This window comes from Homo sapiens, chromosome 4 (genome assembly GCF_000001405.40).
Source record: "Homo sapiens chromosome 4, GRCh38.p14 Primary Assembly".
NCBI classification, from domain to species: domain Eukaryota; kingdom Metazoa; phylum Chordata; class Mammalia; order Primates; family Hominidae; genus Homo; species Homo sapiens.
The window spans coordinates 155,727,729-155,753,203 of record NC_000004.12 but is presented as its reverse complement, the minus strand read 5'-3'; the positions used below and the strand labels follow the sequence as shown (position 1 = coordinate 155,753,203).

General features: G+C 38.0%; 1 protein-coding gene and 1 long non-coding RNA gene across 26 annotated transcripts in view; one reads left to right on the top strand and one right to left on the bottom strand.

The window, feature by feature from the left end:
- The window catches only part of LOC105377506 (uncharacterized), a 33,998-nt gene that overhangs the window by 5,212 nt on the left and 3,311 nt on the right, over window positions 1–25,475 (top strand). The window contains exons 2-6 of one of the 2 annotated variants that reach the window (XR_007058484.1): window positions 1,787–1,876; window positions 3,819–3,851; window positions 7,472–7,601; window positions 13,742–13,844; window positions 25,228–25,374. This is a non-coding gene — a long non-coding RNA (uncharacterized LOC105377506). Of the gene's footprint in view, window positions 1–1,786; window positions 1,877–3,726; window positions 3,852–7,471; window positions 7,602–13,741; window positions 13,845–25,227; window positions 25,375–25,475 lie in introns of both variants that reach the window. The other variant, XR_007058483.1, reaches the window with a different exon arrangement.
- The window catches only part of GUCY1A1 (guanylate cyclase 1 soluble subunit alpha 1), a 70,212-nt gene continuing 60,881 nt past the window's right edge, over window positions 16,145–25,475 (bottom strand). For all 24 annotated transcript variants that reach the window (NM_001379669.1, NM_001130683.4, XM_005262957.4 and 21 more), the window contains one exon: window positions 16,145–23,174. In NM_001379669.1, coding sequence (NP_001366598.1) covers window positions 22,973–23,174 — 202 coding nt within the window. In that variant the 3' untranslated portion in view covers window positions 16,145–22,972. The remainder of the gene's footprint in view (window positions 23,175–25,475) is intronic.

Here is a 25,475-nt window from a genome sequence, read left to right as displayed (position 1 = left end):
TATAGCATGAGTAAAAATAATGAAAAGGAGATAAATTGTCCATTAATATGTTTACATAAAGCATGAGCTTTTTTTTTCCTGAATGGGTGCTTCATCAGCAACATAAAAAGTTAAAATTAGCTTATGCTAATGTATTAAAATCTTACTAAGTTTTATTGACATTTGAAGCAAAAGAATTGCATTGAGTGTATTTACTGGTATGCTTATAAAACATACATCTGTAATAAAATGCCATTTAGAATATATTTTGAAGGATCTTTAACTATGACTTACAGTGTCTCCACATGATAGTTCCCCCATGTGACAAAAAACATCAAAATATCAACCTAAAATATGGAAACAAAAATACTTAAACTGGTTTGGCCACATTTAAGGAACCATTAATGATACTTCACTTGAGAAGCATCAATACCCTATTGAAAAAATTGGAAAGTAAAGCAATATTTGTTCCAGTGGAATGATTCTAATGCTTTGTAGTTAAAACAAAAACAAAAAACAGGAGACCTTACCTCTAAATAACCTTTGTGGTTTACAAAGTACTTTCACAGGGGTTATTCCTTATGGTTTTCTATCAGGTAGATAGTATGTTGCTGTGTTTGCACATGAGGACCTGCAGCCCAGAGCAGTGAGGGGCTCACACATTAATCAGGGTCTTCACTTGCCTCATTGACCCATTGCAGATCACCTAACCCAAACCCACAACTCTTTCCTGAAGATATCATTTTTTTTTCCTTTACGTGTCACGAGAATCAACAGTTGGTGTTTTTTGTTATAACACCTAGTAGAGTGGAAAGAAATTAGAAGATAAATATCTGCAACATTATAGATATGTAAATTGGGAGAATTCACATCATTTCCCTAAACTTTACTTTTCTTGTCTGTAAAAATAAGGTAATACAAATAGCAACTTATATAGGGTTTTGTAGGGTTTTTGGTAAGGATCAAAAGAGTTAACACTTACGAAAGCATTTTATGTATAGTAATATATAATGTACATTTAATTTTCTGTCTTTATTATCAGGTTCTCTATTTGAATTATATGAATTTTAAACATTCTTAAAATAAGAAAATACCACAAAGGAGATAAGAGCATGAGTGGTACTCATAATGGTATTCTAGCTTTTGGCCCTGCTGTGGACAAATTGCTGAACGTCTCTAAACCTTAGTTTTCTCTCCTGAAAATAAAGCAATTACAGAGATTAAATGTGATGATATCTATAAAGGACATATTACAGTGATTGATACATGGTGATATGGTTTGGCTGTGTCTCCACACAAATCTCGTCTTGAATTGCAGCTCCCATAATTCCCACCTGTTGTGGGAGGGACCCTGTGGGAGATAATTGAATCACGGGGGCAGTTTCCCCCATACTGTTCTCATGGTAGTGAGTAAGTCTCACCAGATCTGATGGTTTTATAAGGGGAAACCCCTTTGGCTTGGTTCTTATTCTTTCTTTTGTCTGCTGCCATGTCAGATGTGCCTTTTGCCTTTTGCCATAATTGTGAGGCCTCCTCAGCCGTGTGGCACTGTGAGTCCATTAAGCCTTCTTTCTCTTTATAAATTACCCAGTCTTGAGTATGTCTTTATCAGCAGTGTAAAAACGGATGAACATACACCGTAAATGTGACTTTTATCATTCATTTAAGCATCCTGTTTATAAAAATGTAAATAATCCATTTTCACATATGCTGTGTTTTCGATAAAATAACTTGCTTAAATCCAATCCTGGCATCATAGATAATTTAAGCCATGGTTTTCTGATCCCGTCCTCTTTTGTGACTCCAGTCCCACAGACAGGAACCAAAGCCAGCAGAACAAAGCAGCCCCAGATGTGTTCTACTCTATTATCTGAAGTAAATGAAAATCAACCCTGAGGTATGTTTTTATATTCTGTCTACCAAAATAATGTGCATTCTGTTTATTGAACTGCTCTTATTTCTTCCTTGCAATCTGTTACTTTCATTTTCATTCCTGCCAAGAGAGAAATAAAAAAGTTGCTCATAATTTCTAAGGCGATTTAGACCTACTTTTTTGGCCTGTAATGGAAATCTGCGGTTTCTTTAGTCTGATCCTAGGTAAAGCTGATTTTAGTGAAGCCAGGGGTTTTTACACATTAAAAAGAAAAAAATGGAATGGTGGAATAAACTGAGTTAGGGAGTCCTGAGGTTTATGTGGATTCTCTTACCTATGTAACCACTAGGCATGCCATGGTGGATAGAATAATTCCCACCCCCACACGTCTTCCCTGACAAGATGTCCATATCCTAATCCTCAGAGCCTGTGACTATGTCACCTTATAAAGCAAAAGGTACTTTGCATATGTGATTAAGTCAAGGACATTGATATGCAAAGATTATCCTGAATTCTGAGTGGGCCCAATTTAATCACAACAGTTCTTATAAGGGAGAGTCAGGAGTGACAAAGTAAGAGAAGCAGGTCTGATGATGGAAGCCGAGGTCACAATGATGCCAAGAAGAGGCCATGAACCAAGGAAGGCAGAGGGCCTCTGGATGCTGCAAAAGGAAAGGAAATAGACCTCTTGGAACCTCTAGAAGGAAAGCAGCCATGCTGACACTTAGATATTTGGAATTCTGATCTCTAGATCTATAAGCTAAAAAAATTCTGTTTTTTTTTAAGTCACTAAGATTATAACAATTTGTCACAGCAGCAGTAGGATACTAATTCAGTATGTCAAGTAGCTTTCCTAACCCAAATTCTGAGACATCTCAGGGACCTGGGTATGGACTAAATGTTTGCGTCTTTCTAAAATTCATATGTTGAAGCTCTAACCTCCACTGTGATGGTTTTTAGGGCCTTTGGGAGGTAATTCTATTTAGATAAGACATTGATATGGGCCCTCCAAGGTGAGATTAGTATCCTTATTAAGAGAAAGAGACCAGAGCTTCCTCTCTACCATGTGAGGATACATCAAAAAGATAACCGTCTGCAAGTCAGGAAGCGGGACTTTACCAAGAACTGGATCTGCCTGTATCTTGATCTTGGACTTCTCAGTTTCCAGAACTGTAAGAAATTGATTTGTGTTGTTTAAGCCACCCAGTCTATGGTATTTTGTTATAGCAGTCTGAGCTGACAAAGCAGACCTAGAAGTTACATTTCTATGTTAATCTTTCAGAAATATCAATAATAGTGGAAAGTCTCCCACTCTACTTCTACATATATCCTAGTACTGTGTGTGTCAATCTCATATTCTACTGTTGGCCATGCTGTGTTTCACTGAGAAAATGGCAATACTGGTGCTGCTTATATATAAGGTAGGATTCCCCTCTCACAGATAGCCACAGCTTTCTTTAAAAGAAGGTACATTTCCCGAGGATTAATCATTAGGGAAATTATTGGTTTCTCCATTAGCCAGAGTTGTGCATCACCAGCAACAGAAACCAGCTATAGCTGACTTAAAGGGAAAAGAAACATAAATATTGGATAGCTCACAATATCATAAAGATGACTGAAGAGATGGTGAGAGAAACATAAACTATTTGTAAATTCTACTCATTTCCTCCATAAAAGGGAATGCAAAATGTCATTGATTTGGGTTAGTTGTACTTCCTATATTACATAAGTATCACGATTTGGGGTGACTTTTTACAAGGAGATAGCATTATTTAATCGTTTTTGATTTGGGGAGTTAAAAAAGTATCTTTGCTTTTTGTGCTGGTAGGTGCATTATAGGGTCTAAAGTTTTTTTCCTACCTTCCTTCTCACAGGTAGAGAACCTCCTTCTACTACCATCAAAGTCCTTGATCTGTTTCCCAACATGAATTAACCTTTCCATGTTTTCGTTACATTTGAACATCAGGAATGTGTAGACGGAAGCAGTTCATCCTGGGAGGTGAGAATGAGCATTGAAAGAGCCATCCGTGAAACCGTAAGGCTGGGAAAGAGAAGTGAAGGGGCACATGGAAGTGTTCATCTCTGGGGCAGGGAAAAACAATCCGGAGAAGATGAGTCACACCTCATTTGTAACCCATGAATGAAAATCAATACTGTTACTTATCATAAATTACACTGAACATAGTGCTTACACTTGAGTATCAATGCAGTAAAACCACTATGAGCCAATTGATTGACTTTTCTAGATCCCAATTCTATCATTCATCTTCTGGTATTCATCTTCTGGCTTAGCTACTATTTCCTGGCACAGATTCTTAATAAAGATCCTTTCTCCTTGGTCCCAGATGTAACCCTGTGGTGTATGGTCTGGCATTTTAGGGGATATCTATCTCTTCTGTTCTTACCTCAGTGTCCTGAATCATGCATACTCGTCGCTCTAACCTATTGAGCCTAGGAGACAGGAACAAACAAAATAGAAGGGGTTCTAGGAAGCTTGGTGTTTCTCTGCCTCCCTAAATATGTCCATGGTCCAGGAAGTAAGGAAATTATGAATTCACATGCTTATCTAACAATCCACAAAGTTATGGAAATGTTAGCTATTAGTAGAGCTTGCCATCCGGTGGGCAAATACTAATAGAGTTACCCCAACCCTTAGGGAAGTACTGCAATAGTCTCCTGGGATTGAAAATGCTGATAAATATCTCTTGGGGCATTTCTTTAAAATGCAGATCTCTGGAACCCAACTCTGCTGTTTTAATTGATAAATAAGTTGTTGTTTCCGGGAGTCTGCACTTTAACAAGTGCTCCCTCCCTCCAATGACTCTCAAGCAGGTGGGCCACATTTAGAGGTCCACTGTCTGGTTTCCAGGTGAAGTCTAATTCATAGTACTCTGATTTTCTCTTACCTGATCTCAAAGTTGAAAAGTAAATGGCACCCAATGTGCAGGGAACTCCCTGAGATTCCTAAGCAGGAATCAAATATAAGGAAATTACACACAGATTATTTCCAGCTGTGACAGTAATGAGCTTCTTTTAGCAACTGCATGGCCAAACTCCTGCTCTTAGTGCAAAACTCCTGCTCTTAGTGCAAAACTCCTCCTGGGAAGAAGCTACCATTGGTATGGAAATGGAGGGTGGGAGGTAACCAGATTGCAAGAACTGATAGTCCAGAACTCGGTTTATTCTCCCTTAAACTAAAGATGGGAGATAGGCGGGAACTCTGAAGTCTCTTCTCATCCCACACTGCAGCCAAAGAGAAGTGGCACCCTCTATCCACATTTTTTTTTTTTTACCTGTCAGTAAGAGATATTTCCCTGCCGCCTTTGCCAGGTGATAAAAGTCCTCTTTATTTTGGTATGTCCTTTTGTGGGCGGGGGGGGGGGGGGGGGGTTGCTCTACCTCTCCCACCTGGAACCACTCAGGTTTATAATAGGTAGAGCATGTATTGCTCTCAACTCAGGTGTATTTCATCTTTACCTGTAGCTAAAGGATTCTAGCTCTGATTCACCAGGCTCAGTAATTGATGGACACAATCCATGGAGCACTATCAGGGTTTTCTTGATTTGGGAGCACGAAGAGGGGACTTCAGACTCTCCCCATGCAGGCTCAGATGGCTTGCCACATTGATTCTTCCTTTACTGTCACTTAAACTCAGGATTACATTGCTCCCAGGCTTCAAGATGGGCCTAGTCTAGACAAAAACTTTCAGTCTCATGATTATGTGAAACTCTCAAATAATGTGTACCATGAAGTGTAGAACATTGCCTGACACTGAGTTAGCTCTCAGTAAATTACTTGTAGCAGGAATTGTACTGATAATGCAAATCATTCCAATCTTCTTTTAGCTTTTCTTGCAGTGAGGTTGGCTGTGTCACTTGTTCAAGGAAAGAGAATGTGAACAGAAGGAATACGTGTGTCCTCCAGGACTGAACTTAAAAATTTGCCACACATACTCCCCAAGATTCCTTCTCCAACTGCCCAGTAGATATATATACTCAAGGTGACATTGAAGATGAGAGTGATCTGTTGGTCCAGGTCATGAGTGGCTGGTGGAGCTTCAGCCCTCATCACCCTCATCCTTAGATAATATGTGAGAAAGGAACTGCTCCTGTGAGTCACTCAAATTTTGAGTTTGTTTATTGAAAGATTAGGCTACTTTCAAAGACACAGTACCAGCTCAGGACCTTGCAGGCTGAAGATTGCTTACTGTGATGATAACTCTGCTTCCATGAACATCCGTCTTAGGGCAAGAAGCTGAGTAAATTATTTATCCCACACTCTATCCATCCAAACAGGTGAGGGGCTGTGCCTTGCCCTTGTGTGAAGAAACCAGGTTCTATTCAAGAGTGTTACTCTTTCTGTGAACAGGAGGCAAAGGTATGAGCTGAGACTCTACCTGCTCTCAAAATCATCAGAAAGAGGGCTCAGAAGGAGTCACAATTACTGAACTGCTGACTGAAAGACTCTCTGGGGACTCAACCCATGGCTATTAATGTCAGTGTCACTGGGCCAGCTCAGATGCAAACCCACCACTACTGTGTCATCCACAAAATACATACAGCTATCGCATATCAGCATTGTGGGAGAACGGTATTAAAGTGAACTTCACTTTATAGAAACTGTATTCCTGACAGCCACATACAGTTCTTATGACCATGAATCAAATCGCATTTATATGAACAAAGGCAAGTAATTTAATAGAACCCTATTACAGAACATAGGATTCTCTACAGGACAGACTTTACACAGTGAACATTCACACTTAGTTTTATCATTAATTTTCATAGGGCAGGTTTGCTGTACTAACTAGGCATGCAAAGACCATGGGTCTCAGCAGGTAATATAAAGTGATGAGGCAGGTTGGGTGGATTTGAGGTAAAAGTGAGCGTTGGGGAATGCAGTAGATCATGAATATTTACCCCACCCAAATGAGGCAGCTCCCACTCAGGGACAACGGTTCATTGTAGAGACATTGTGGGACAAGTGATGCTGCATACAATGAGTGATCTCGATTTCTTTGTGAAATCATATGATTTAAAAATGTTAGCATGATAACCTGATCCTACTTGGAAGTTAATAAGTTAGCCTGCTGCATTTTGTAATGCTGGCAAAAACCGTAAGATTTCTGGGTCAGTGAGTAAAGAATGTATTACTCACAGCAACAGCAATAGCCAGAGTAGCCAGTTTCTTGAGTCCCAAGTCCACAGGGTGATGAAAAGAGGTCCAAGTAACGCCTGTCCATGCAGTAGGCTACATCACAAGAGAGGAACCCTGAACTTAGGGAACATGAATCTTTTATACTGAACAGTAAGCGTGCCTGCCCCTTGCTCCAGAAAGAAATACTATCTCTATCTTCCAAGACGATTTGCTGTACAAACACCCCAGGAAAGCTAGTGCAGAACAAAGACACTCAGAACCTCTGCTCATAAGACATGCATAAATATGAGAGACCACCTCCCAACAGTATTCTCCCCTAGTTTCTACACCATCTTGTCTTCTGGAGAATTTTCCCTTGGATACATCAGTCCATCAGCACTCTGATTAATCTGATCAGGAGAGCTGGGCCTAAATCTGTTCAATTTGGCTTATATAGCATTTAACTGCAGTTACTATCAACAGGACTTCAAGCAGTAGAATGAGGCCAACCTGCAAAACTGACCTGTCATGCCCTGCCTCACCATCTTATCCAGTCCTGGACTCAACCAGCTGAACTAATCCCTAAACCACCAAGTCTACCTTAGAAAAACAGGTATGTTTTTCCTCAAGTTTCTCTAGCGATCTTTCCACTTAGCCAAAGGCATTATTGCAGATACAGCAGGGTGTATTTGCAATTACACAGACTCCACCTTGGCCTGCAAGGGGAAAGTCTAGGGTGATTTTATTATCATTCATAAGGACCCTGGCCAGCAAGTTGTGTATTAGCTGAATGCCTTTGGCAGACAAGGTGGTATATTTAATCCCTTCAGCTAAAAGGGAAAATTTTTAACTGTGTGATTCCCATCACAGGGATAACAGCTTGCATTTTGTGCATAAATGATTAATTAGTTATTCCTCAAGGAAGCTTCTCTAGAGTTCAAGGATGGCTTCCCTTTGAAAACATCTCATAGTCTCATGCAGGTATCATGATCTACTGCTGGGATTTCCTTGAAGACACTTGAAGATCTCTTATCCTTCATATGATGGTTACTTTTATGTGTCAACTTGACTTGGCATCAGGGTGCCCAGATTAAATATTATTTCTGGGTGTGTTTGTGAGGGTGTTTCTGAATGAGATTAGCATCAAACTGATGGACTCAGTGGAGTGATTGCCCTCCCCTGCCTTGGTAGGGATCACCTGATCCATTTGAAAGCCTGAATAGAACAAAAGGCAGAGGAAAGAAGAATTCAGTCTTTTTTTCTCCCTCGTTGCCTGAGCTAGACCCTCTGTATTAGTCCATTCTCACGTTGCTATGAAGAAATACCTGAGACTGGGTAATTTATAAAGAAAAGAGATTTAATTGACTCACAGTTCCACAGGACTAGGGAGGCCTTGGGAAACTTACAGCTGTGGCGGAAGGCACCTCTTCACAGGGCAGCAGGAGAGAGAATGAGTGCTCAGCAAAGGGGGAAGAGCCCCATATAAAACCCTTAGGTCTCATGAGAACTCACTTACTATCATGAGAACAGTGTGAGGTAATCTGTCCCCATGATTTAATTATCTTCACCTGATCCTACCCTTGACATGCGGGGATTATTACAATTCAAGGTGAGATTTTGGTAGTGACACAGAGCCAAACTATATCACCATCTCATCTCATTGTTTCCTGCCCTTGGACTGGGATTTAGATAAACTCCCCTCAGTCTCAGTTCTTCAGATTTGGATTGAATTATACCACCAGCTTTCTTGGGACTCTGGCTTGCCGGCAGACAGCAGATTGTGGGACTTTTCAGCTTCCATAATTACCTGAGCCAGTTTCTCATAATAATACATATTTTTGGAAAACTCTAATATAGATTTTGGTACTGAGACTGCCTCTAAAGGAACATATTAAGGATGAGTTTTCTGAATTCATTCCAAGGTTTATGGAACTGGCTCTCTAATCTGATTAGATTTAAAGATACTGGACTCTATTTCCAGTAGTAAAGAGTGCAGGGATAGTCAGTGGCATGATCTGGCAATAGAGATATGCAAAATACCTGCACTATATGCTTCCAGTGAGCCACTAATAAGAAGTAAGGAGGTGGGAGACTTTGTATACGGTATTTTTGAAAGTTTCTGGAAAACTAATGCATATAACGACATAGACTGGTTTGTCCTAATGTCATTGGAAAAGTTGCACCAAAAAAGAATGAGCTCAGGGATTCAAATTCTCAGCCGTATAAATAATCAAATAGCTTCTATGGGTACCCTGAAAAAGACGCTTATCTCCTGTAGCCACAGGACTGAAACTGCTAAAAATTAAACACAAAACCTCATTCTGCAACTGGCTAAATTACAATGAAGTTGACTTTCCAGCTTTGCAGGATTTCTACACTAAAGTGAGGGCATCAATTGGAAAGAATGGGATTCTGTAAATTAAAGATAAAGACATGAGCAAAGATCCTGATGAAGCTGGAGACATTGAGTCCCTAAATTCTGATGAGTCTTCTTTGCCAGTGGAAGAAGTCTTCCAACCCCCACTGAAAGCGGCCTCCCCAGCCCCAGTGGAACTAATTCCCTAACCCCTGGCAAAGTGGCCTCCCAGCCCTCCATGACAGTGGCATCCTCACCCCCAGTTGTATTGGGCTTTCCATCCTTATCTGAGGGGTTAACCCTGCATTACCTGACAAAATGGTAATAGTCTCTCTGAAGCATTGCTATGCAAGACAATGCTGTTTCTTCTCAGGGCCCATCCGAACCATCCCTCTTTCCTTTTAGACCTATAACTAGACTCTAGTTTTAGCAGGCCTCTGAACGTGAGGTACAACATATGACCCATGAGGATGTGCATCACACTCTAAAAGAACCACTTTTGTTTTCTAACTTATGCAGACAAAAATCCAGGGAATATGGTGAGAATGGATATGAAGCATGTGGGATGATGGTAGAATCAGTGTACAGTTGGATCAGGCTGAATTTATTGACATGGGCTCGCTATGCAGAGATTCTGCATTTAGTGTCGCAGCTTAAGGAGTTAGAAAAGGCTCTAAAAGTTTCTTTGGTTGGTTGACTGAATCATGGACCACAAGATGGCCCACAGAGAGTGAACTGGAAATGTCAGACATTCCTTGGTTTAATGTAGAAGAAGGGATTCAAAGGCTTAGGGAGGTTGAAATGTTAGAATGGATTTGTCGTGTAAGACCTACTCACTTACACTGGTGGTGTCCAGAAGACATACCTTTCGCCAGTACTGTGAGAAATAAATTTGTGAGAGCAGCACTGGCATCTTTGAAGGGCTCCGTAATTTCTCTTTTCTGTAGGCCAGGCCTTATTTTGGGATCTGCAGTCACTGAATTAAGAAACCTACAGACAATGAGGGTAATAAAATCTGGAGTGACAGGGACCAAGTGGCAGAACTCAACCACCAAGAGCAAAGTAGATGTGGTAACCTTAATAGAGAGCAGAGTCAAAGCATCCATCAGAATAGTGTGACTCATGTAGATATATATAACATTGGCTACTTAATCATGATGTTCTTATAAATGAAATAGATAGGAAGCCTACTAAATTCTTACCTGACATATGTAAGCAAAAATTTTCAGGTTAAGCAAACAAAAGTTTAACTTGAATCTTAAAAACAGAGAATCATGGGCCTCAATCAATTCCCAGATTTGAGCCAGTTTACAAAGTCAGAGCCCCTTGAATGAAGGGAATGCTTGGCCCCCTTGAGGATGTACTTAGTATACCATCAAAAACATACACTGGTAATGTTTCTCTCATTCTTCCCCGAAGGAACCTCCAGCCTTTTACCAGGGTAGTTGTGCAATGGGGAAAAGGAAATCATCAGACCTTCTGGGGAAGGAGATATTGATATTGATTTGAGAGCCTTGAAAGATCACTGTGGTCCTTTAGTTAGAGTATGTCCTAATGGAAGTCAGGTGTTCGATGGAGTTTAGCTCAGGTTTAAATCACAATGGGTCCATTTCGTCACTGAACCCATCCCGTGGTTATTTCCCCAGTTCCAGAATGCATAATTGGCATATACATAATTAATAGCTGGAGGAAGCTCCACATTGGTTCCCTAACCTATGGAATGAAGACCTGGTAAGAAAGGCCATTGGAACTTCCTCTACCTAGGAAAATACTAAACCAAAAGTAATACCACATACCTGGAGGGATTAGAAAAATTAGTGCCAATATAAAGAAGAAAGATACAGTGGATGGTGATTCTCACCATATACCTGTTCAACTCTCCTATTTGGCCCGTGCAGAAGACAGACGGCTCTTGTAGAATGACAGTGGATTATCTTAAGCTTAATTAGGTCATTACTTCAATTCCGCTGCTGTACCAGATGTGGTTTGATTGCTTGAGCAAACTAACACATCTCCTGGTAACTGGTATACAGCTATTAATCTGACAAATGACTTTTTTCTCCATACCTGCCTATAAGGCCCACCAGAAGCAGTTTGTTTTCAGCTGGCAAGGACAGCAATACACCTTCACTCTCCCACTTCAGGGTTATATCAACTCTCCAGCTGTGTGTCATAATTTAGTTTCCAGAAATCTTGATCACCTTTCCCTTCCACAAAATGTTACACTGGTCCATTACTTTGATGACATTATATTGATTGAACATAATGAGCCAAAAGTAGCAACCACTCTCTACTTATTGGTAAGACATTTGTGTATCAGTGGGTGGGAAATAAATTGGACTAAAATTCAGAGCCGTTCTATCTCAGTAAGCTTTCTAGGGGTCCAGTGGAGTGGAGCGTGTCAAGATATTCCTTCCAAGGTGAAGGATAAATTATTGCATTTGGCCCCTTCTATGACCAAGAAAGAGGCACAAGGCCTAGTGGGTCTATTTGGATTCTGCAGACAACGTATTGGGATATGTTGCTCTAGCCCATTTATCCAGCAACCCAAAAAGCTTCTAGTTTTGAGTGGGGCCTAGAACAAGAAAAGACACTGAAACAGGTCCAGGCTGCTGTTCAAGCTGTACTACCACTTGGGCAGCATGATCCAGCCAGTGTCCTTACGGAACAGGTCCTTTCCATTGTAATTTACATGAATAATACAGACATAATCAATTGCAGTTTGTTTCCAGAGTTCATGATCCCCAAAATGGGTGCCTTCAATCTACCAATATGTAGTATTCCAAATAGCAGACCAAACAGCTAGGACATTAGCAACAACCTAAGAATAAGTAAAAATAGGACACAGTTGGGTTTCAGGTTAGCTGAACCATCAGGGAAAGAGGCACGGACACACAAGAAAAATCTTGAGTTGAAGGTCCCATTGAGCCAGCAGCTTTGCTGTAAATGGCAAAGTGATGAATAAAGGTTTCCCCAGAGTGATAGCAGCTACTTTTTATGTTAAGACAAGGTGCTGCTGGCAGTGGGATAGCTGCATTCTTGAATATACTATTTCCACTTACCAAGCAGGGATTGTCAGGCCCTCTCCATCTTATTAATCATTGAGTCTGAGTCAACCCACCCAAAATGAAAATATCAGGCTGGAGAGTCTCAAGACTTTTATGGGTCAGGTATTTTGTTTTGAAGGAGCATAGTAGCAAGCCAAAAAGGCTTTACATCAAAGTGATTTAACAGCTGTGTCAAGGAGGTGATGAGTCCAGACCTCAACAAAGACTTCTGGGTGAAGGCTGACCCCCTTTATCAGAGGCTCCAATCACCAAGACTATCAGACATGGAAACTTGTATCTCAGAAAGGTCATGAGGGTTGTGGGGCCCCTTTGGTGCTTGCATTTATCTACTTACTGCTGTTACTGATCAGGAGAATTTTCCACCACTTCCTGGATAAGGCAGTGTGAGCACCTCAATTTCTAATGTATATTCAGACATGGATATGACAAAAAATAATACACTGTATTGGCCAAAAAGACCACAAACAGAAGGTCACACTTGTCTCCTTTCCCTACTCTAATTTCTGACCAAACTCTATTAATGGAAAGTTTGTGTGTCCCATTCTGACAAGGGCCCTGGGTGTCAGTATACAACAGAGGCATAAAATTATGATTCCCTCCCCTCCCCAAAATCTCTGCCCCCAGCTATACTTGGGCAGTTGCTTTTGGCCTTTGATTCCACTTGGAGGCAGGGAGAGCCTGACCTCACCTCTAATCATTTATCTCCTTAAAGTAGCTGAGATCAGAGTAGAGAGAGAGGGATGGGTTAGGTGTAAGATGTAGAGAGTAGCTTTCCACCAATAAGGGAGGAGCACTTACTTTTAGTTATGAGCACACAGAGGCAGCTCAACCAAATGAACTTGCAGTGTATTCAACCTGCCCAACACTCTAATAGGTGGCAGATTGCTCATAACTGACACCATCTGTTTCAGCTTTGGGGGTCCCTTGACCAAGCAGCCATAGCAGCATTGTATTCCGACTGTGGGCATGGATTTCTACCCATCACCTGACATGGGATTGACTGGCACAGGGATAATTTTTTAAAAAGGGATGCACCTTAATCTGAGACATTTGGTGCCTCATTATCAAGCAAATATACTTAAGTTCTTGTCCAATTTAAATGCAAGTGCTATAGGAGTTTTCCAAGGCTACAGGTCTGACCTCAGCAATTTATCTACACTGTCAGTCTCTCATTCTCCAGTGAGTCGCTTTCATCAGTGTTGCATACCCAATTCAGGGGCATTAAAAGCCCAAAGATTAGTCAACGCCTGTATTTGTTTGTTAGGGTTTCCTTGATAATGAACCATAATGCCTGGGTGACTTAAATAACAGAAATTTATTGTTTCTTAGTTCTGGAGGCTGCAAGTCCAAGATCAAGGTGTCACCATCATTGGTTGCTTCTGGGGGCTGTTGAGAAAGAACGTGTTCCATGCCTCCCACCTAGCATCTAAAGGTTTGCTGAACATCTTTAGTATTTCTGGGTATATCTACGTAACACTGACTCTCTGCCTTCATCTTTACATGATGTTTTTCCTGTGTGTCTCTATGTTCAAATTTCTCCTTTGTATAAGGACACCAGGTATATTGCATTAGTGGCCCACCCTGCTCTAGTATGACCTCATCTTAACTTACCTCATTATATTTGCCATGACCCTATTCCACATAAAGACACACTCTAAGGTACTTGAGGCTATGACTTCTGTGGGGACAGTTGAAAACATAACAATGCCTTATGTATGCTTTCCTGTGGAAGTTTGTCAGCTCCAGAGAAATCTCTCCAAAAGGGACAAAACTCCCATTGGAGCCAGGACCTACTGAAAAACACTCTGAGACCTTTAACTGTCATCTCTGAAAGAATCCAAGGTTGGCATGAAAGACTGCAAGAAGGGCTCAGCCGTAAGGCTTCCCAGCTGTTGCCATTCTTCCTCAACAAGTGTTATGCATCTATTGCCCTCATCTCTCAAATGAACTAGCCAAGTTCTAATCGCTTACTCAGTTTCTGCTCATAGGGGCCATATATTTTCTTCTTTGTGGTCAGTGTAAATGTACACTGTGTTAGTCAAAGGATACAAAATTTCACTTAGGAGAAATAAATTTAGGAGATCTATTGTGCAATATGGTGACTATAGTTAATAACAATGTACCTCATATTGGAAAATTGCTACAAGAGCAGATTTTAAATGTTCTCTCCAAAAAAAAGTGTGTGAGGCAATGGATATGTAAATTAGCTTGACTTAGCCTTTCCACAATGTATACATATATCAACAGATCATGTTGTTTATCAAAAATATGTACAATTTTTATTTGTCCATTTAAAACAATTACTTGACTAATTTTTGTTTTTAAAATGGATATATCTGTAACTCTTGTCTGAAGAAGGTCAGAACCTTCCTCTAACCCAGGATGGTTATATGTTATGACCTGTAAGAATTTTCCAGGGCTACAGGTCTAACCTCAATCATTTATCTCATTGACTTGAGGCTTGAGGAGTAGACTTGAGGCTGACACCCAGTGGAGGAAGAATCTGCTCACCCAGTGAGAGTTAACAACCAAGCCACTGTTTAGGCCACTGCTTTTGAACCTACTTTCTGATGCTTGAGATGCAATGTTTTCTGAATTCATTCTCAATAGCAGGTGATAAAATTGGGGACCATTTCTCACTCTGCTGATTTATAATTTGGTTACCACATTTGCCATCGATTCCCATGAACTTTTTCCTCCAATCCCATTAATCAGCTCACAATACCCTTACTCTTCTCTTCCAGGAAGCCAAGTTTCTGTCAGCATCCCAACCTCATTTCCAAACTGTCAATAATTGTGAAGGGTCTGAGATTTTACTCTACTTGCAAGTTAAACAGCTAGACTGCCACAATTTCATGGATGCTGGCAGAAGACGTGACTCCTGGGTCAGAGAAAGGGAACTTCACTGACTCACACAACTATAGCACCTGACCAAGGGTATCAGCGTTATCTTGCACTGGTTCACTGGGTCACACACAGCAATGTGAAAACAAATAAACTACACCTGCACACAGTGAGTTGCACGCCAGAAGATACATCCTGAGTTTAGGAACACAAATCTTTTATAATGGGCAGTAAGCCTGGCGGCTCTTTGTTCTTGGGAGAGACATTATCTCTGTCTTCTAAGGCTGCTTGCTATACAGACATCTTTGAAAAGATAATATTAAACAAAGGCAGTAGGTACCCCTGCCCTCTATAACATTCAGGAGATCGATAGAAAACTGTCTCCCAACAGAGTGCAATGGAGACACATTTATCCCCCAGTTTCTGTTATAAGCCACTACACTTGGATAAGCCAAGCACAGTTTTATTTCTACGGTTGGTGTTTTCTAAAAAGTTTGACTTTATATATGATTTGAAAAACTGAGACTTTTTAATTTTGTTTTTTATAAATAGAAATAAATTTTTTTTTAATTTAGGTTTTAAAACAATTGTGATTTTATGTATAATATGAGTTTTGTTGGAAATAGGAGCTTTAGAAATAAATGTATTTTGATTATGTTAGTACACTATTTAACAATAACTTTTTGAAAAGGGATTTGAATACATTGACCTGTACAGAGCAAATGCCTGACATAATAGTTGTTAATCCTGGTTTTCCACACTGTTACGTTGGAAGTTTTCTCTCTCTTTAGTAGCAAGACCTACATCAAAGCAAATATATTCGTATAACTTGGGACAATGGTGTTTTTCCTTGATATAAAGTTCATTTTTCTTTTTAAACATAACTCATTTTAAATTTTAAGAAGATTTTTATTTAAACACTTTTATTACAATATTTAGGTGGCACAATAACTAACAAGCTTCTGAGACAGGAGGTAACATTCTCATAGACTTTGCAACTCAGCCAGAAGTAAAACTCGAAATAAATATGTCATTTAAAGTAACTATGAAGGTAATAATAAAAGGAGTGTTGTTAGTACTAAGAAGGTTTTCAATGCAGGGTCCAATAGCTATATTTACATATACAGAAAAAATGAAATTAGTTACTAAACATAACAAAAAAAACTTGGTATACCTATAGCAATGCATATTTACCAAAAACTGGTGAAAAATATATTGAGAGATATGTTAAATATTTGCTGAAAAGAAAACTACTTGTCTGTATGTGAAACCCCATGAATCATTTTACACATCAGGACCAAAAAACTAACTCCTTTTATTCCTCAAAAATCAAAAGTGGTCTCATCTAACCCAAAAATCACAGACTTGTCAGTTATTGTCTTCTCATTTTGAACATTATTTACTATTTTTTCTCTCTAAACAGTAAGTTCTTAGTCAAAATTTATTATTTTGTCCCATCTAGACAATATGGTCTATGGTACTTCACTAGGGTGGTCTAGGAGTAGATTCTAGGGAGTTCCCCAAGCTCTGGCAGTACATGTGTCTTGTATGGGGCCATATGCACATTTTTGGAGGGGTGATAGTCTATGTCTTTTATCCATTTCTCAAAGCAATAAAAGTGAAGACCCACTAGCCAACTGTAGCAGTTTCCCAAGTAAAATATAAAGATGATTCACTGGGGTAGGTGAAGAAAATACTAGAATTTCTATTTATATTCATGCTCATTTAGAAAAGAAAAGCTGTCCTAATATGTAGTATATGGATTGAGAGCAGCATGTATCAGTCTATAGAGTTGTTGTCCTACAATATTTTATTAACAGATTGCAGGAATCTAAAAGGTTGGAGAATAGTGCTCTAGGGCAGTGAACATCAAGTTCTCATATTTTCCAAAACATCTTTAATTTACATGTGCAAGGAGGTGAAGGAATAGTAAATTCTCAAATACTAATACATTTTCATTCACTTCAATGTTATAAGATACAACTTATTCAGGGAAGACGGCAGCTCACTGTGATTAAGCAGTGTCTGGATGCTGCACATCCCTGTATCACTGGGAATGATTATTTCTAAAGGCCCAGAATTCCCAGACCACTGTTGCCATAACTTTCCAAAGAGCTTCAGTTTTGCTGCTCTTGTTCCAGGTGTATAATACTTAACACATTGGGCTGTCCAACTTCTGTAATAGCATTTTTGTTTTGCTTTGTTTTGTTTTCACTTTCTCTGAAACTACCTCATAGCTCTTTCCTCAATACAGATGGATTTGGCAGCATTTCAGATGGAACAAACATCTGAGCAGATACTTCAAGATTTGGGCATTATGCAAAGTCATTTTCAGCCAAGTAATTTTCCTCACAATCTGGAAGGCTCATTTGTGATTTAATTTTCTGACATTATATAATTTAAAAAATTAAAAAACTTGACAGGCAGCCACAACCTTATCTAAATATCTTCTACCAGAATATCTGAGATTAAGTCCTGGATATGACATTTAAATTTTGTCCTGATTTCTACCCCAATGTTTAAATCCAAGATATTAACATTTTCATAAAACTAAGTTTATGATGATGGAAAAAACTGCACTGGTGATAAAAGAAGTGTGGCTTTTAGAATATCACTTTTTTTTCCTTTTGCTTAGGTTTTTCTGATTGAAATCTACACATTGATAAAACTTTTGCTACTATTTTGGCAGATACTATATATGAAAATAAATGGACATAAATAAGGTAATGGGATAGCTTTGGATGAAAAATGTGTAGGTTATGTGGGCTAGTCAAAACAGATGCAGGTGTGGCTGTAATAAGCAAAGCTGCTTCAAGGGAAGTACAGATGGCAATCAAATGTACAGTGATTACTGCAGCTTAAAATAAGAATACTGAATGAGTGCACATCATCAATATAATAAAAGAAACATTTAAAGAGGAGCAACAGTTCATCAAAGATCTACTAGCTGACGTGCTAAGAACAGAAGAAAACTAAACTCAACAAAGATGACAAAGGATTAATTGGCTCCGTTACTGTAAGCTTATGGCTTTCAGTAATTGATTCTTCCCCTTTTCACTAAAGGATACAAATATTTCCCAGGTCTTGAAAAGTATCATAACAGAGACCATAAACTCTAACACTCAATTTTGGTTGAAAATGACATTTTGGTTTTCTCTGCTTAATAAGTTAAGCAGTCACTGCTTTTAGCCTGTGTTTTAACAAGAGAACTGCACTTTGCTACCGTCTCTGCAGCACTGAATTTCTGTTTTGGAGGAGACGGTAAGTCCCTCCTCACAGGAATCGCAAGGCGTCTCTGCCCTCCCACCTCTCATATATGCTGTGTTCTCCATCCCTGCACCCTTAAAGACAGTCTTCATTTAACTGTCCAAGTACAACCACCTAAAGAGTGAAATTGCATTGAAGTGCAAAATGAGGTGAAATAAATGATCCATGTTTTACTGTTCAGTGAAAGGTAGTGATCTGACAAGCTCCTCAACAAATATGTATCAAAGATTCAATTTTACTTATTAAAATGATTTACATGGGTCAAACCCATGCACCTAAAACCACTGCAGTAATTCGTTAACCCATTCTGCTTTGGGCGACTAACATTTGCATCAACAAGGGCTTGATTGTGGATTTAAAGCATTATACAGCACTAGACTTCACTGGAGCTTTGCATGTAAAGCTCCATCTGGGCAGTTTTCCAGCTGGGTAATCTCAGAGGACTGATGTCTATTCCTCAGGCACTAGTTAGACTAGACACTCTTGTTTATTCATCTCTTTCATTTGCTAGGCCTACCACAGACCACCCTCTTCCATCCTATGCCTTCTTTTAACCTAACCTGAGACAGAGCTGGGAAGTCTTTGCCTTGGCGTGGCTGGAAATATCAGGGAGAAGAAATTTGGAAGAAATGTTAGTCAAAATGCTGAAGCAACTCTTCTTTCCTCCCTACCAAAGGATCTGAAAGACTAATTAGCCTTGAGAGTGACATAAAATTCCAATGCCAGACATCCCAGCTTTATGCTCATACTTATGGTAAAATATCCAGGATATAAAATGAATCATTTTCCCTTGATGTATAAACAGATGTTCATTCAGTCACCTGTGCAAGTAAATATCCACCCTATCCTTAACCATGCTGTTTCTAATAGTCTTTGGAAAACACACATCTGATCATACCATTCTCTTCCTTTAAGACTTGATGCTTCTCTTATCTAGTAGCTTTAAAACTGTTGGAGAGGGAGTCAGTAGCCAATGGATCTAATTTTACTCATGTTGCTTCTTTTTTTTTTTTCTTTTGTAAAATCTATTTTGAACAAGTGCCTCAAGTGAATAATAATGGCTCTTATTGTAGTTATTAATATTACTATTATGGTAATGTTGATAACTACTTAAGGTCATGTAAAGCTGTGTCATGTGTAGTTAATTACTATATATTAATATTACAATAGCAATATGAATAACTATCATGGCACACCTTTACATGACACACATACCCCTTCGTGATTTTTGCCCAGATGGTCTTTTGTCCTTATTCTCCTCCCTCCCAACTCATCCCAGGTAACTGGCTGTCCAGAATGTACTATGCACCCTCAAGACCCCATCTCTTTGTGTGCTGATTTATTTTCCTGGACCATGTCCTTCCCCTTCTCTGCTTGATGAACTCTAAGACCAAAAGACTTCTCTAAGAACTGAGTCCCCTACTTTGTGCTCCCACAGAATGTTGTAATTATGTCTTACATTTGTCTTTCACTTTCCTTTCTTGATAGATTGGGCCATATTTTATCCTTAAATTTCAAAAATATAGCAATATTCCTGGCACATAGTAGGCATTCAATAAATTCTTCATGAATGAATAAATGAAAATGAGTAAATGAATCTATTCTTATTTAGGTTTTCTTAAATATACGCTTTGCATTTTCCTACAAAGTCTAGATCGATATAGAAAAACAAAGCAAAATGGAAAGAAACATTTTAATTCTGTATTTCCCTTTGCTTCTTGATGCAAAGCATCTTTAGAAAAGTTCAGTATAACTCTGTGCTTGCCTGAGAAATATGTATAAGGAGATAATTTATATAGTGTACTCGACACAAAAAACAACAGGACAAGAAGCCATGAATGGAAACTATATAACCAGAACAGAAAGAATAGCTCCTGCATTTTCAGGAGAAACAGTCTGTTAGGGAAGCAGTCTTGAGACCCAGTCTTATTTTTTAGAATAGTTAAATGGCAACATAACTCAGTACCCGTAATCCCCAACCTGATTACAGGCTGTTTGTCCACTATTTTTCCATCTTCAATACCTCAAAGCTCTGACTTGGGCCCCTTATTTATTTTAAGAATCTATGCTCCAGGGTCTCTACTCTGGCTACCATCAGTGGTCTGGATCTGAAAAGTTTCTCGCTAATCGCTATGCTTCAAAGCAGATAAGATAGAGAAAAAAAGATATTCCTTAAATTTTTTAGCATCTAAATTGTGAATTTCGTATGGACTCTGTCATGGAAATGTATGTTCATCCTCTTTGAAGATCCACAAATTATTCTGTATTTAATGGGCCTTTGTAGGCTGGTCTGGGGAACCTATCACAGATGATTTAACTTCACTGTGAAAATATGTTTTTTGGTAATTTTTTATTTAGATATAATGCCACGTTTATAGAAAAGTTGCAGGAATCGTACAAAAAACTCCCATACAACTTTTCACCAAGATTATATACATTCCCCTCATTTGTTTTGTGTATATGCTAATACATCACAAACACACAAAATACTTTTTGAATTCTGATTGAATTATAAACTTTTTGAGTACAGATTGTAAGCAAATTGAGGTCTGCTGAAATGTTTGATCAAGACTACATTCCATTTCATGCTTTTACATTTTCTTTATTTCTATTATTTCCCCATAATAAGAGTTCGGTTCCAGAAAGAAAAATGTATTTACATTTTTTTTCCTTGTAAGTAGTGACTTAACTTCATATATTTGTGAGGATGTAACTATACTTTCTCAAGGCCTATGGCACTTTCCAATAATAGGCTGAGTGGTTTATTGAGTCAAAGTCAGTCCTGTAAGATACGGGGTTATCACTTAGTAAACAGCATCATTGTAATATCTATAGTAGTACCCTTGGAATACTAGAGGCCAATCAGTAATGAATATCCCTGATGTCACCATGGGCTAGCCTGGGTACTAAGGGAGGCAGTTAAAGAAGTTTTAAACTGAGTTATTTCTCAGAACCCCAAATAAGAGCTCAGCCTATCTATGGCTCTGCTAATATTGATTTTAAAACTATAACGTTCATCTTTTTCTTGCTTTAAATTCAAGCTGTTTTTAAAATCAAATCTTTATCCCCAACCAAAATGTAGATTTTTTAGTTCACCAGAGAACTTCAACTGACCTAACTAAAACTAAAAGTTCCTAGCTGCTTAAATGTTTATGTAAAACAAAAAGAAAAAGTTGAAGTTCCGGAAAAAATACTTAGACATTTCCATAATGTAGTCACTGCCTCATTTGCTTCATCAATACTAACAGTCGTTTTTTTTAAGTCAAGATATTTCAAGTAGAATAAAAACACTTCATATATGTATATTTAATGAGACAAAAACTTGATTCTTAGTTCATAGACATACACCAAAATGTTCAGCACAAATACTCAAGAAAAATGAGATATCCACCAAAAGAACAAGTCTTATTTTCTACTTCCATACTTAGATTTTCTTCTTAAAACTTTAAACAGCTCAGCATGGCAATAGAAGATGTCTGCTGAAGTGGGTCCATATTGTTCCAAGTGTGCCTGCACGTGTGTTTACGTGTGTAAATGTTTTACCAATGTCCTTTATGGTGGGTCCCCTGGATGATTACTTTACTCCCATGTTGCTTCCAGCTAAATTAGATTTGAATAGTATTACTGCATTTTAATAGAAGATATAAACCTCTTTTATTCTGAATACTTTGCTATTATGATAGTAAAATGAATTAATAGGAATTAAATTGCTAACATGGATTAAAATAGCTTTTACCATTGTAGAATTTTAAAAAAGTCAAACAAAAGAAATATTTATTATTATAACACACGTTACTATGGAGAGTATTTTTAACTTCCAGAACTAAAAATAATATTTGGTATTTACAGAACTATTTTATATTCATATTGCATCTAACCCCTAATTGCTTATTTTCTAAAAAGAAAAAAAGAAGAAAGTGCAATAGAGAAAAAAAGTCAGCCTATATTCAAACATATACTAACAGTTAAATGAGAAAATGCAATAAAATGCAGAGTTGAAAGTTTGAAAGAACTGAGGGTGTCAAAGAATGTAATTTCTATTCAAAAACCTTTTTTTTGACGACACTATCACAAACACACTTTAATAACCATGGCATTCCACCAGGATATGAGATTGCAGGTGACTCCATCAGTTTGTACAATTGACTACAATTATCTGATATATGTACAAGGTGCTGAATTTTGAGTACAGGTAGTAAGTGCTGGTTATATAATAGAAATACTCCCACAAAAGTAGCTTTTTAAGGTTTTTTTTTTTTTTCTTGAAGAGCTGAAGTACTGAAGTGAGTACATACATTTTGTCATGTTAAACAGGAGAAAGATTGTGACTTGGCTCCTGAAATTTTAATACTGCTTGTTAGCCATCTACAATCCCTAAAGTGCTTTCAGAGGCTCTACACATCTTCAATGAGTCAAACCCCAAAGACTTATAAATAGGTATATAGGTTGCTAATCTATTCCTGATGCTTTGCCTAAAAAATTGGCATTGCCATCTTCCACATCTTTCTTTTGGAAGCATGGTTTTGAGTTTGTTCCTTGTTGGTAAGCATCCAGAAAATGGCAGATTCCGGGGATTTCACTAGGGAAGTTTGGTGGAAGTTCCTCCCTTGATCGAGGGGTAAACACGAAACCAGGACAGTCTTTGAGTAATCTGAAAATATTAAAATATAATACTGACATAAATGTTTGTCCACTCAAAAAAAGAACACAACATAACTAACTGAATGTTACTGAGAATATTTATAAACCAGTGATTTTAGGTGTGAGTGACAGAAAAAGTCTAACGAGATTAACAGACATCTTCCCAGAAGTACAATGAAGAATCAATTCACAACAAGAAAATTGTGTCAATTAATGTATTTCACTTACACTGGAAAAAATTATAAAATATTTTTGCAAAAATAATATCCACACAACAGTGCAATTTGCAGTAGTGAAAAAATAATCCAAAGATTTAATAGTAGCAAAGTATTCACACATAACCATAACAGTATTAAGATTTCCTGAGTTGAAAGAGGTAAGATGTCCATTTATCAATTCATTAATTTTGTAAATATTATGCTAATTGTGGGCATAAAACGTAATCATGGGCAAGAAATAGTGAACCAAAATTACAATGACAAAAATGATGTGAGAACAACTTTTGAATCTTTCAATAGAATTTTTATGAATTCTAGATTAGTAGGACTCAAATGAGATTTAATTGTACATATCACCACTCTACTTACTAATTGTTATTAGCAATATTTTTTCTCCTGAAATTCATCTGTTTACCACATTATATTGTTTGCTATTTTACTACTTGTTCATTATGCTAAACCTATTTCAAATTCTAATCTTACTGATTAAGCTATTGGCATCTCTTTCCATTTGCTTCCCTAGCTTTCCATCAAATGAGAACTTAATAAGCCTTCTCTCTAACCTAATATTCAGGCCATAGATGAAAAATGTTGCATGGCTGTGGGTTCTCAACCAATTTCTACAGAAAAGCATTTATTATATTTACCCAAACAGACCATGGTCTTCTACTCACTAGTCTGTAATGTCATGTCTACATTAAATAGAATGATGATGTTGAATTAGATTTTGGTACTGTGACAACATCTATGTATTGAAGAAACCAACTGAATAGAAATCTGTCTCAAGAATGACAGTTTAATTTTCATCAGTACATCAATAAATATGTAATCTGCTAAACAATAAAACTAATGAAAATGATGCCTTAGTCATGAATTTATAAATATTTTTGAGTGACTATTATTTGAGAATACATAATGAAAAGGTATAGAATTAGACAGTATTAAAAGTATAAGCTTCAAAGTCTGATAGCTCTAGCAGCACAGATGTCCATTATCCAGCCTTTAAAATGGGGATAATAATAGTACATATTCCTTAGGACAGTTGTGAAAATTGAATAAATCAATTTTTAAAAACTGACTAAGCATCAATTAGAAATCACACCACACCTATCATATTGGTAACAGTAAGTCTGACAATATCACCTTGGAGAATAGCACACTTCATACACTACTGGTGGAGCATAGATTGGTAAAATCATTTTGAACAGCTAATTAATGCTTGGTAAAGTTGAAACTGGGTATAGCCTATGGTCTGGGAATACCATTTTTAGTTATATTATCTAAAGACATATGTATAAAGATACCTATTGAATCACTTTTTGTAATAATGAAAAATTGGACACACTCTAATTACCCACAGGTAGAAGATAGAGTCTGGCTCATTCATACTCTAGAATACACATTATATCACATGCACATATAGTAACATGCTAGATCTGGTTCATACTGGCTTGTGAGAGCCAATTGTTAAAATTCAGGAACTTTGTAAGACAGTTAAGCCATCCATAGCCTGAAACCTGCCAGAGTGGACATAGTAACACCACAGAAATTGGCAAATGCTGGAATCATGGATTCTCTACCTCATCCTCCAAAGCTGGTTTACCAGCAAACCACTCCATTAGCAATAGTTAAAATGAATAATCTAGATTTATGACTAGATTTACATTTTATCAAGGAAACTATCTCAGAAACATAATACTGAGTGGATTCAAGGCAAGTCTTAAAAGGATATGGATATGTTCACTGGGAATCTATTTTCCTCTGGCTTTATTTTTCTATCTGGCAGGACCTAAATGAAAGTGATATTCCTGCCTCTCTCTACCCATTTTCCTTCCTGGAAAGCAGAAGTGACATCTTATTGATGAGTTGTGGAGAAGCTGCTGAACATGCATCTGTATTTGGGAGACTGTCTGCAGAGAGTACATATTCTCAGCTCCTACAAGCTATAAAGCACTTAGGATCCATTGTGTCAGAGCGTGTAACAGGGACCATGTAAGAGTTTCTATTTATATTTTATTATATTAATATCTATTTACTTTACATTTTATTTTTTTATAAAACAGAAACCTGAAAGAAATATGGCAAAATGTTGA